We start from the raw sequence: 13,874 nt of genomic DNA, 5'->3' as shown, positions 1-13,874 counted from the left end.
ATGTTTTGATTAGACTCTAGCAAAACTTTAACTCTGAGAAGATATGTAGTAACATAGTTAAATGGATGGTTAATATGCCAAACAATGCTCTAAATCATGTCATAGACACTGTCATATGTAAACCTCACAGCCTGTGTAACAATAGCCCCATCTTACAGTTGAGGAAGGGCAGGCTGGAGAACATTTAGTAGCTTTTAAGTGGCAGATCCAAAACCCAGGTCTGCCAGACCCCAGAGTCCATGCATGTCCTTCACCTCTATGCTTCCTATGCTGCAGTGCCTCTCCAAACTGAAGACTGTTCCTACCAAAGCATGGGGCAGGAGGGGGATAGACTGTATCAAGATAATTTATATAAGTGAATTAATTATAATAATGGGATGGAACAGGAGTGGAATGGGGAATAAAACCAAGAGCAGACTTCTTGTTGGCTGACTCTTTAAGAGCTCGATATCCTTTGAGTATCTTAATTGTAAAGGTCTTAAACCTATGAGGCAAGTAATCCAGATATTCGTTTTGCACAAAACTACCTTAATAAAATTTTCCACACCATCAACTATGATGGCAGTCTAAATCCAAAAACTGCTCACTATATAAAAATGAAAAGGAAGCCATACTTACAATAGCCTTGAGCAGAAACCATGCCAAGAGACAGAGAGGACAAATTAGTATGAAGCAAACACAGCAGCCAAGAGAAGCAACGATTTAGTAATTCATGAACAGAAGTAAAAGATAAGTACTTTCTTTTTTCAGACGGAGTCTCGCTCTGTTGCCCAGGCTGGAGTGTAGTGGCGCAATCTCTGCTCACTGCAAGCTCCGCCACCCAGGTTCATGCCATTCCCCTGCCTCAGCTTCCCGAGTAGCTGGGACTACAGGTACCCGCCACCATGCCTGGCTAATTTTTTTTGTATTTTTAGTAGAGATGGGGTTTCACCATGTTAGTCAGGATGATCTCGATCTCCTGACCTCGTGATCTGCCCGCCTCGGCCTCCCAAAGTGCTAGGATTACAGGCATGAGCCACTGTGCCCAGCCCAAGATATGCACTTTTAAAAGAAATGTACATTTTTCTTTTTTCTACCGTCTCCTCATCCTGTCTTGTTCTCTGAAGTTTTATATATTGTGGCTAGCTCAAATTATCCATATGGCTGGATATAACAATGTTTTTCTGCTTCCATGCTAAAAACAAATTACATAAAAATAATAATAAAAATGTGCAACCCCTTCTACTCCGACTTAAGATCACATGAAAGGACTGTGCTTTTGATAACAGAAGCTGGCAGAAATTATGTTGTTCTTCTCCAGAGGGGACCACTTCCTTTGGCAGGTTGCTTTATGTGTTGCACATTCCCGAGATGCAACACTTTAAGTTAGAGAAAGAGAAAGGTAAGACAAAAACATAAAAATATTTGCTGGGGCAAGAACCATATATCCTGTATTGTACTACTTATTTCTCTAAGCCATTTGGAGGCACAGTTTCAGCTATCTGAATCTTTTCTACATATAGAAAAGAACTCAGAGCAAAGTTCTGCTTAGTTTACAGCAAGACATTGGCATCTGGACAGTCAAATAAATGGACTAGTTTATGTAAATAGTACTTGACAGGGCTAGCATCTCACTTCTGAAATACGTTCTGTTAAAGTAATGGCCCACAGCATATTTAATTAGATTTGATTACCATAGCGATACCTAATCAAGCTATGCCAAATTATCTTTTGAAGAATAAATGCTTTTATTTATGTTTTAATGTAAGAGAACCATGCACAATGGCCATCATTGTAACACTGAAGTTTAAGCTGATTCTGATATTTCACCATTTTTACTTCCTATGTACCACATGCCCTTCCCTCACTCCCATAACAAATCAATAAAAGTCTCCTCAGACTTTTAGAGACCAGAATGGATTTTACGTTTTTCTCAGTTTAAAGGACCTAGTGATTTCACTGAATTAAGAAATGTTGCCCCATTCAGTTCATCTCTAAGATACTTAATTAGGCTTAATAATATTTCAATACACTAATGGTAGTTTTGTTTCACCTCTTTGTGATTTCGCATTTTGAATAAAAACATGTTTTAAATTTTAATAAGGGCATAAGGAAGTTTAAATGTTGGTGACAGTTTTAGGAATCAGAAATCAATCTGGGAATCTAACAAGGACTGCCAACACATTGATTAAGGGATGAGCTAACATCACCCATGTTAGAATGAAGGACATGTTGCCAATATACATGAGATGATGTCTGGAGAAACTCATTAAGCTAGGCCATGGATGAGCTTTCTATATCTAGTATTCACAAGTTTTAAGTAACATACTTAACTCCCTTTCTTCGGTTCCTTTTGTTTTTATATCCTCTTATGTTAATAAGGCGAAATGGAATTGGCTACATCTATAGTTTTGAAGTTAATCCTCCAAAATGACTCTATCAATGGAAACAAACGTTTATGCTCAAATGCCAGAGTTTACAGCAAATTACATTGGTAACAGGAAAAAAACAAAACATCTGGTTGAAGCAAAGACTGATCACCAAAATTTTGTTTTTTCTCCTCTTTACACTATTTTTGAACACTCTAAGTCTTAGCTCGGTTGTTTACTGTTCATTAAACATAAAGGATTTGCAAAATTTGACTTACTTACACTTTTGCCGGAGATAGACGACTATGTGCTACCTGAGTACTGTGATAGAAGGTTAACACGCAGGTGTGAAGAAAGGCAGTCCTTGGCTAATACATTTACACTATTCTAGTGCAAGTGTGCAGAGCTGTGACAGAGATGCAGAGTGCTGGGGGATGTGCAAAAAAGGGCCAGTGTCGGGGAACAGAAGGAGTAAGAGGGATTCAGAGATTTAGAGAAAATGCAATACTAGGGACGGCAGTATTTTCTTAAAGTCACTGTTACATTAAAAATTTCTACTTGAACACTCCAAATTCCCACTAGCAATTTTTTTTTTGGCCAAAGGGGAAAAACCCTACACTTCATCTTTGAACACTGAGTTGAGCACATTTAAAACATAAAGCCTCAATTAATTCTTCAGTTGGTAACTAGAAATGAACTTCTAATTCCCAGCAGAGCGAATCTGAAGAGACAATAAAGTACTATCTGGTCCTTTTTATAAGGAATGTTAGTAAAAAGGAAAACACTATTTCTTTTCTATAACCAATATAATACTAAATTATTTTGACAAAAAACATCAAATAAAAAATAAAAGTTATTTCTCAACATTGTGAAACTGATGGACCATCGTTGGTACATATTAAAACTTACATCTTCTGCTTTTGAGCCTTGATCCTGTAAAGATTTTTGTAATTCTTCAACTTGTGACTGTACTTCCAGAAGTCTTTGATTCACCAGCCTAGAAATGAAATGTACATTAATTTTCCAAGTGGTGAGTTACGTATGCCTTTTTTCCCTAGGTTGTCATATTAGTTAGAAAGTATAATTAGCAAAATCAAGTCTCATGTTATAGCAGTAGTAGTATAGTAGTGGCCTAATGTCATGAGTGGCAGCTTACTTTTCTGATTATTTTTGGTATTGCTTGAAATTTCGAATGATGACTTCTAACACAGTGTTTGGGTGGGCACATATTTTAGAACCAATGTACTTATGCATATTAATTTCTCTGAAATTCACTTCAATACATGTTTATGAAGACTATGTCTCAAGGACTGTGCTCAGCACTAGTATTAAAAGATCTCTGCACTCAGGAAGTGGGTGGTGGCCCATGCCAGCACTTTGGGAGGCCAAGGTGGATGGACTGCATGAGCTCAGGAGTTTGAGGCCAGCCTGGCCAGCATGGTGAAACTCCATCTCTACCAAAAATAGAAAAATTAGCCAGGCATGGTGGTAAGCACCTGTAAGTCCCAGCTACTTGTGGGGATGAGGTAGGAGGATCGCTTGAGCCCAGGAGGTCGAGGCTGAAGTGAGCTGTGTTCGTGCCACTGCACTCCAGTCTGGGCAACACAGTGAGACCCTGCCTCCCAAAAAAAAAAAAAAAAAAAAAAAAAAAAGATCCCTGCCCTCACGGAATTAAAGTCTAGTGGGGAGGAAAAAGTGTAAACAAATAAAATACAATCAGATAAAAACTTCAAAGTAGTACATAGATGCATATAAAAATGATGGTCAAAGAAGCAATAACTCTCTGGAGGAGTTAAAATACTCTGGGCTTGAAATGAGACTAGAACAATAAATAAAACATCTATGAGTTAAGGGTGGAAAGGAGATTCAAGACAGAGGTCAGTATGTCCAAAGTATGCAGAAAAATAAGAGGATGCAGTGAATTCAGGAATGGTATAGATGATGAGTATGTTATGAGAGGAAGAAAGGCCGGAGAGAAACTGGGGGAAAAGGAGATCAGCACAACCCTGTATGGAATACAAAGTGTCTGCTGGGATTATCCTGTAATCAGCAAGCCTCAAGTCAGGCTGAAACTGGAACAACTCAGATAACCTTAAATAACGCTGATTCCACGGCTTGACTTTCTTTTTTCTTTTTCTTTTTCTTTTTTTTTTTTTTTTTTGAGACGGAGTCTCCTTCTGTTGCCCAGGCTGGAGTGCAATGGTGCAATCTCAGCTCACTGCAACCTCCGCCTCCCAGGCTCAAGCAATCCTCGTGCCTCAGCCTCCTGAGTAGTTGGGATTACAGATGCGCACCACCATGCCTGGCTAATTTTTGTATTTTTAGTAGAGACGGGGTTTCACTATGTTGATCAGGGTGGTCTCGAACTCCTGACCTCAGGTGATCCACCTGCCTCGGCCTCCCAAAGTGCTGGGATTACAGGCATGAGCCACCGCGCCTGGCCCATGGCTTGACTTTCATAAATTCTCTAGGTCATGATGCAACATTCAGGAGACCAGCTTACCTCCCAAGGTCTTGGGTGATACTGAAGGATTGCAAGAAGGGAAAACATGGTCAGACAGACCACACAGGTAGTATGTCAGACAGATCACTTTGGTTTTAAAATGGAAGATAGTATCAAAAAGGTTCAAGAGCAGGCATGAAGATGAGAGAAGGCTATTATTATTATTATTACTAAATATGCCTGAAATAGAAAGGGACAGAGGAGGAAATAGAAAGGGACAGACGAACTATCTTGAGAAAAGGCAAAAGAATATAAGGATTTTGGTATTCGCTGAGAAGGGAAGACAAAAGGAATAGGATAAGAAAGAAATATAGGAATCTGATTTTACATTTGTTGAAAATGAAATGCCTAGAAATTTGTCAAACAGCTAGATACCTCAATCTAAAGCAGAGAGAAGCCTGAGTTGAACATACAGATTTGGGAGCCATGTGGAGTTAACTGAGGCCATGAGCAAAAATGATATTGTCTAGAAAGAATGTGAAAAACAGTGTAAAAGACTAACAAAGAAGGCCCATGGCGGATCAATCAAGGGGTAGAAAGAGGAACCTCACCCTGAAGAATATCAGAGAATGAGAGAGAATGTAAGAGATGGGTATTATTGAAATAAAAAATTTGAAGAAGGGGGAACTGAATAACAACACTGAATATAGTAGAAAGGTGAGGAAAGATAAAAGTCTTGAGTGCTGCTATGGGATTGGCCATTTAAGAGATGACCAGTTATCTTAGTAAGAAATACTTTCGTGAAATGGTAGTAGCAGAAGCCAGACTGCTCCAAATTAAGGAGAAAACAAGACAATGAGTGTTTAGAATCCAAACAGCCAAACAGTTTAATAAGAAATGCTTTTACTTAAATTATAAGAAATTATAGGTTTATAATTTAGAAAGGATCACAGTAAAAATTTAATTAAAGCTATAACTTTTTCACATCAAGGTAAAAAAATCTGAGTGGTTTTGAGTAACAAAAGAATAAATTACCTGAAAAATCCACATTCAATATGGGGACACAGGTCCATAAACACATTACTAGTAATACCACAATACTGTTCACTCTTTTCAGAAAGCAAAATGGAAATATGTATTCAACTAAAAGATTATTTCAACTATCCATCTTAGTCATTTTTGAGATTATTTCATCAAACAATACTGTAAGCCAACTAGGCGGAAGCCATTGTAAACATCATAAAACACAATCCAGTATGTACCAAGATGTTCTTTGGAATGGTTTAAAAACAGCTAAATTCTCTCAATGGGGAATAGGTGAGCAAAAATAGTAATGTAACTGTTAAAGTATGCAGTATGTAAGCAACATAAATATAAGAAAATATTTATGAAAAAAGTACATCTAGAAAATACTCAAAAAATTGAAATAATATCAAGTATCTTCTCTGAACACAATAAAACTAGAAATCAGTTAACAAAAGAAATTTTACAAACTATACAAACACATGGAAATTCAACAATATGTTCCTGAATGACCAGTGGGTCAGTGAAGAAATCAACAAGGAAACTGAAAAATTTATTGAAACAAATGATAATGGAAACACAACATACCGAAATCTATGGGATACAGCAAAAGCCGTAGTAAGAGGGAAATTTATGGGCACAAGTACCTACATCAAAAAAGAGAAAACCTTCAAATAAACAACCTAACGATGCCACTGAATGAACTAGAAAAGGAAGAGCAAACCAAACCCAAAATTAGTAGAAGAAATAATAAAGATAAGAGCAGGCTGGGTGTGGTGGCTCACATCTATAACCCCAGCACTTTGGGAGGCCAATGTGGGTGGATCACTTGAGGTTAGGAGTTTGAGACAAGCCTGGCCAACATGGTGAAACTCCATCTCTACTAAAAATACAAAAATTAGCCGGGGGTGGTGGTGCACGCCTATAGTCCCAGCTACTCTGGAGGCTGAGGCAGGAGAATCACTTGAACCCAGGAGGTGGAGGTTGCATGAGCCGAGATCGCGCCACTACACTCCAGCCTGGGTGACAGAGTGAGACTCTGTCTCTAAATAAACAAATAGATAAAAAATAAGGATCAGAGCAGAAATAAATGAATTTGAAATGAAGAAAACAATACAAAAGAGCAACAAAACAAAAACCAGTTTTTTGAAAAGATAAATTGACAAACCTTTAGCCAGACTAAGAAAAAAAGAGAGAAGACCCAAATAAATAAAATCAGAGACAAAAAAACGAGACATTACAACTGATACCGGAGAAATTCAAAGGATTACTGGTTATTATGAGCAACTATATGCCAAAAAATTGAAAAATCTAGAAGAAATGGATAAATTCCTAGACACATATGATCTACCAAGATTGAATCATGAAGAAATCCAAAACCTGAACAGACCAATAGCAAGTAATGAGATTGAAGCCATAATAAAAAGTCTACCAATAAAGGCCCCAGATCCGATGACTTCACTGGCAAATTCTACAAAACATTTAAAGAAGAACTTATACCAATCCTACTCAAACTATTCTGAAAAACAGAGGAAGAAGGAATACCTCCAAACTCATTCTATGTGGCAAATATTACCCTGATACCAAAACGAAACAAAGACACATCAAAAGAAAAAAAACAAAACAAAACTATAGGCCAGGCATAGTGGCTCACGCCTGTAATCCCAACACTTTGGGAGGCCAAGGCAGGTGGATCACCTGATGTCAAGAGTTCGAGACCAGCCTGGCCAACACGGTGAAAACCTGGCTCTACTAAGCTACTGCACTCCAGCTTGGGCGACAGAGTAAGACCCTGTCTTAAAAATATATATATAAGTATAGGCCAATATAACTAATGAATATTGATGCAAAAATCCTCAATAAAATACTGCAAACCAAATTCAACAACACATTAAAAAGATCATTTATTATGACCAAATGGGATTGATCCCAGGTATGCAAGGATGGTTCAACATCCTCATACCAACTAATGTGACACATTATATCAATAGAATAAAGGACAAAGACCATATGATCATTTCAATTGATGTTGAAAAAGCATTTGATAAAATTCAATGACAATTCATGATAAAAACTCTCAAAAAACTAGGTATAAAAGGAACATACCTCAACATAATAAAAGTTACATACGAGAGACCCATAGCTAGTATCATACTGAATGGGGAAAAACTGAAAGTCTCTCCTCTAAGATCAGGAACAGGACAAGGATGCTCACTTTCACCCTGTTATTCAACACAGTACTAGAAGTCCTAGCCAGAGCAATCAGACAAGAGAAAGAAATAAAGGGCATCTAAATTAGAAAGGAAGAAGTCAAATTACAAATCAACATACAAAAATCAGTAACATTTCTTTTTTTTTTTTTTTTTTTTTGAGATGGAGTCTCTGTCACCAGGCTGCAGGGCAGTGGCGTGATCTCAGCTCACTACAACCTCCACCTCCTGCATTCAAGCAATTCTCCTGCCTCAGCCCTCTGAGTAGCTGGGACTACAGGTGTGCACCACCACACCCAGCTAATTTTTGTATTTTTAGCAGAGACGGGGTTTCACCATGTTGGCCAGGATGGTCTCAATCTCCTGACCTTGTGATCCGCCCGCCTCAGCCTCCCAAAGTGCTGGGATTACAGGGAAGAGCCACCGCACCTGGCCAAAAATCAGTAACTTTTTTTTTTTTTTTTTTTTTTTGAGACAGAGTCTCACTCTGTCGCCCAGGCTGGAGTGCAGTGGCATGATCTCAGCTCACTGCAAGCTGCACCTCCCAGGTTCATGCAATTCTCCTGCCTCAGCCTCCTGAGTAGTTGGGACTACAGGCGCTCACCACCACGCCTAGCTAATTTTTTGTATTTTTAGCAGAGACGGGGTTTCACCGTGTTCGCCAGGATGGTCTCAATCTCCTGACCTCGTGATCCACCCGCCTCGGCCTCCCAAAGTGCTGGGATTACAGGCATGAAACACCGGGCCCAGCCAAAAATCAGTAACATTTCTATAGGCCAACAGCAAACAATCTGAAAAAGAAATCAAGAATCCCATTTATGATCACTACAGATAAAATAAAATACCTAGGAATTAAGCAAAGAAGTGAATGAGCTCTACAATTAAAACTAAAAAACACTGATGCAAGAAATTGAAGACACAAAAAAATGGAAAGATATTCTATGTTCATGAATTAGAAGAATCAGTATTGTTAAAATGTCCATGCTGGGTGCGGTGGCTCACATCTGTAATCCTAGCTCTTAGGGAGGCAAAGGCAGGAGGATAGCCTGAGCCCAGGGGTGTGAGACCTGCCTGGGCAATTTAGTGAGACCCAGTTCTCCACTAAAAGGAAAAAAAAAACAAAAACAAAGTACTCAGTATGTCCAAGTGCCATGTGTTGGCATATTGTTGGCCAGACGCAGTGGCTCACGCCTGTAATCCCAGCACTTTGGGAGGCTGAGGTGGGTGGATCACCTGAGGTCAGGAGTTCGAGACCAGCCCAGCCAACCGGGCAAAACCCTGTCTCTACTAAAATACAAAAATTAACTGGGCGTGGTGGCTCATGCCTGTAGTCCCAGCTACTCAGAAGGCTGAGGGAAGAGAATTGCTTGAACCTGGGAGGTGGAGGTTGCAATGAGCTGAGATAGTGCCAGTGCACTCCAGCCTGGGTGACAGAGACAGACTCTATCTCCAAAAGGAAAAAAAAAAAAAAAAAAAGGTCCATACTATCCAAAGCTATCTATCTACAGATTCAAAACAATCCCTATCAAAATAACAATGATATTCTTCACAGAAATAGAAAAAACAATCCTAAAATTTATATGGAACCACAGAATACCCAGAATAACCAAAGCTATTCTAAGCAAAAAGAACAAAACTAGAGGAATCATGTTACCTGACTTCAAATTATACTACAGAGCTATAGTAACCAAAACAGCATGGCACTTACATAAAAACAGACACATAGACCAGTGGAACAGAAAAGAGAAGTCAGAGATAAATCTATACACCTACAGTGAACTTATTTTGACAAAGATGCCAAGAACATACTCTGGGGAAAGGGCAGTCTCTTTGATAAAAGGTACTGGATATCATTATGCAAAATAATGAAACTAGACCCCCTATCTCTTGCCATATGCAAAGATCCAATCAAAATGGATCAAAGATTTAAATCTCAGACCTGAAAATAATAAAACAAAACTGGACATTGGTGTGGGCAAAGATTTCTTGAGTAATACTCCATAAGCCCAAGGAACCAAAGGAAAAAGGAGCAAATGGGATCACATCAAGTTAAAAAGCTTCTGCATAGCAAAGGAAACAATCAACAAAGTGAGAGACAACCGACAGAATGGGTGAAAATACATGCAAACTCCCCATCTCACAAGGGATGACTAACCAGAATATATAAGGAGCTCAAACAACTCTACAGGAAAAACTCCAATAATCCGATTTTAAAAATAGGCACAAGGAGAGCTGGGCATGGTGTCTCATCCCTGTAATCCCAGCACTTTGGGAGGCTGAGGTGGGTGGATTGCTTGAGCCCAGGAGTTTAAGACTAGCCTGGGCAACATGGCGAAACCCCATCTCTACAAAAAAATAGAAAAAATTAGCTAGCCATGGTGGACATGCCTGTAATCTCAGCTACTTGGAAGATGAGGTGGGAAGATCGCTTGAGCCCGGGCTGTCAAGGCTGCAGTGAGCTGTGATTGTGCCACTGCATTCCAGCCTGGGTGAAGGAGTGAGATCCTCAAAAAAAAAAAAAAAAAAAAAAAAAAAAAAAAAAAAAGATCTAAACAGATATTTATTTCTCAAAAGAGGCTGGATATGGTGGTTCATGCCTATAATCCCAGCACTTTCGGAAGCTGAGGTGGGAGGATCCCTTGAGTCCAGGAGTTTGAAACCAGCCTGGGCAACATAGGGAGACCCTGTCTCTCCAGAAAATTAAAAAATCAGCCAGGCATGGTGGTGTGTACCTATAGTTCCAGCTACTTAGAGGCTGACATGGAAGGACAGTTTGAGCCTGGGAGGTTGAGTCTACAGTGAGCTGTGATCATACCACTGCAGTCCAGCCTGGGCGACAGAGTAAGATCCTGTCTCAAAAAAATAAAATAAAATAAAAAAATTAATAGGCACAGAAAATGTGGTATATGTAGATGTAGACAATGTAGCACTATTTAGCCATAAAAAAGAATGAAATCCTGTCATTTGCAAAAACATGCATGAAACTGAAGGTCATTATGTTAAGTGAAATAACAGGCACAGGAAGACAAACTTCACATGCTCTCACTTATTTGTGGGAGCTAAAAATTAAAAAAATTAAACTCATGGAGCTTGAGAGTAGATGGGATGGTTACCAGAGGCTGGGAAGGGTAGTGGGGAGAGGTTAATGGGTACATAAAAATAGAAAGAATGAATAAGACCTAGTATTTCCTAGCGCAACAAAGTGACTATAGTAAAAAATAATGTAATTGTACATTTAAAAATAACTAAAGAGTATAATGGGATTGTTCGTAACATAAATGATAAATGCTTGAGAGGATGGATAACCCATTTACCCCAATATGATTATTATGCACTGCATGCCTGTATCAAACTATCTCATGTAACTCATAAATATATATACCTACTATGTACCCACAAAAATAAAAAAAATAAAAAGTTCATCTACAAAATAAATGAGGATTATAATGCCTACCTCATGGGGTTGTTTAAAAGACTTAAGTGTGCCTAGCAGAGTCCCTGCATATTGCAGGTATTCTATCAATGTGAATTGCCTCTACCTTCTTTCTCCCACTTCAGGGATTGAGATAGTTAACATTTTAATCAAAGTCTAATTGCTGAATATATACAGCTGTGGGATGCAGGGACAGGGTGAGCTTGAGATTATAGCACAGTCTGAGAGGTACAGAAACAAGATCAGGTCTACTTTGACAGAATTCCTGGGGAATCCTGATGTGGCTTCCCCCTCAACCCTCCACCCTCTTCTAATATTGTTTGAGGATTGGCAGGTATTACAGATACACTAAAGTGCTCACTCTTGGGAAAACTAATTGGAAAGGACTTCAGAGGTCTACGACAGACTTTGCTTTCTGACAGGTGACATACATGGGCAGTGAGCAAACTGTAACAGACTCAGTGGGACCCAATGTTGTCAACTAGTAGGATATTAAGTTAGAGTCAAGGTAATATAAATACTCATTAAATTCAGTAAGAACAAACTTAGGGTAAGTCATTTAGGAGAAAAAACATCCTGTGAGAGGAAGACAGGAAAAGGAATAAATATTGTGCAAACATAGTAGAAGATAAATTGGCAAGAAAGAGGGTATGGACTAGGTATGGAGGCTTTGGAGTCAGGCAGCCAGGGTCTTGAGTCTGAGTTCCCTCATCTGTAAAACTTTCATAAAGTAAGAAAGCATATTTAAGACACCCAGCACAATGCCTGAGACAAACAGGTGCTTAGTAAATATTACCTGTTATTATCGTTATAGATCATAGGCAGCCATAATCTAAGTTATTCATCGTCAGTGTTGTAATTTAAGAAACAATCACAACACTAAGTTGTACCAGCGGTAAGTCACACAGGAACTTGGGTGGTGATTAGTCATCCACAGACATGGACACTGTATAAATGACAATTGGCTGTCCTGTCTCTGGGAAAAAGAGCAACAATTATAAAGCCTGTGAGAAACAACACAAAGCAGTATGAAGAAAGTTGTGGGTGCTTTCTCACTAAAAAAATACTAGGGTAGGGAGAGACTTTTCTGTCTAAAATGGCTAAAATACAGCCCAGAGGCAAAGGATGAATGAGGCGAACATCAAGACACTTGCACCAGAGGGACTGCCCACCCGCCAGCTGCTCCCGCAATCTCCTCCGCTCCACTGTCTCCATTTCCCACTTTTTCTGAGTACTTTAAAAAATCCCTCATTTCTCTAGACTCCTCAGAGTTGATGTAAAATTTTCTCCTTCTGTTTATGCTTGATGGTGCTCTTATAATCACTCTAGCATTTATACTGATTTACACTGTTTGTTGATTCTATCTCAGTAGCTTTAAAATGTAAAGCTATAGGAAAAAGGGTAGGATGGATACAACTGTCACAGCAATTGTGACTCCTAAGATTGACCTCCAACTGGGAGAAGCCAAATCAATCACTCAAAATAAACAAATAATCTGTAATGTCAGGTGAGCTATGAAGCTATTAATAAAAACGTCAAATCCTTAAAAAATGACAGAGTATCACTGCAGTAAAACAAAAACAGCGCAAAACAAAACAAAAAAAGAAAAAAAAACTGTATGTTTGTGATCTAAGAAACATTTCCAAAAAGGAAAAGAACAAAAAGACAGTCACAACAAAATATAAATGTAACCCTTGTCAGAGTAAATCACTGATTTTAAAGTGACTGACTTTGAGTGAATAGCACCATGTTGCTGAAAACTTACAAGCAGAAAAGTGATTTTCCTGTTAATTTTGCAAATTCTAAATTCTCAAAATAAGTCAGTTGTTCCTAAGATGAATCATTTCCTTTTAGGGTCACAATAAATAACAGATTAGAAGAAAAATGCTTTGTCAATCCAATTACGAGGGAGCTACTGCTCTCCCCACACCAACAGAGCTCCAACACACTGGCCTGTGGAAATGGTAAACTCTATTAGCCCGACAACAACTGTGAATTGAAATTCTTGTGAAAGACTGAATTATCGGATTTTTAAAAATCCTCTAGTTTTAATTAGTGATTAGAAAGGGTAAATGGTAGAGCTCTGGTATCATTTTGCATGAAGAAGTAAAGAGGACAACACCATTCTAAAAAGGCCCAATGTTTTTTGGCAAGTCTGCCCAAAAGTGGAGAAACGGATTCAAGTTCTCTAAAAGGGAAAGAGAACAGCACATGGCCATTTTTCAAACTACAATTCAGATCTTTGTTGTTGGTTTTTTTGTTTGTTTGTTTGTTTTGAGACAGAGTTTTGCTCTATTGCCCAAGCTGGAGTGCAGTGGTGTGGCCTTGGCTCACTGCAACCTCTGCCTCCTGGGCTCAAATGATCCTTCTACCTCTGCCTCCTGAGTAGCTGGGACCACAGGCATGCACCACCATGC

At 38.9% G+C, this 13,874-nt stretch overlaps 1 protein-coding gene across 1 annotated transcript in view; it reads right to left on the bottom strand.

The window, feature by feature from the left end:
* The window catches only part of HOOK3 (hook microtubule tethering protein 3), a 133,558-nt gene that overhangs the window by 29,641 nt on the left and 90,043 nt on the right, over positions 1-13,874 (bottom strand). The window contains exon 16 of the mRNA NM_032410.4: positions 3,258-3,345. Within this exon, the coding sequence (NP_115786.1) occupies positions 3,258-3,345 (88 nt within the window). The remainder of the gene's footprint in view (positions 1-3,257; positions 3,346-13,874) is intronic.

Source organism: Homo sapiens, chromosome 8, assembly GCF_000001405.40.
Source record: "Homo sapiens chromosome 8, GRCh38.p14 Primary Assembly".
NCBI lineage: Eukaryota > Metazoa > Chordata > Mammalia > Primates > Hominidae > Homo > Homo sapiens.
The sequence above is the reverse complement of the archived record's forward strand: the minus strand, read 5'-3'. Positions and strand labels throughout refer to the sequence as shown.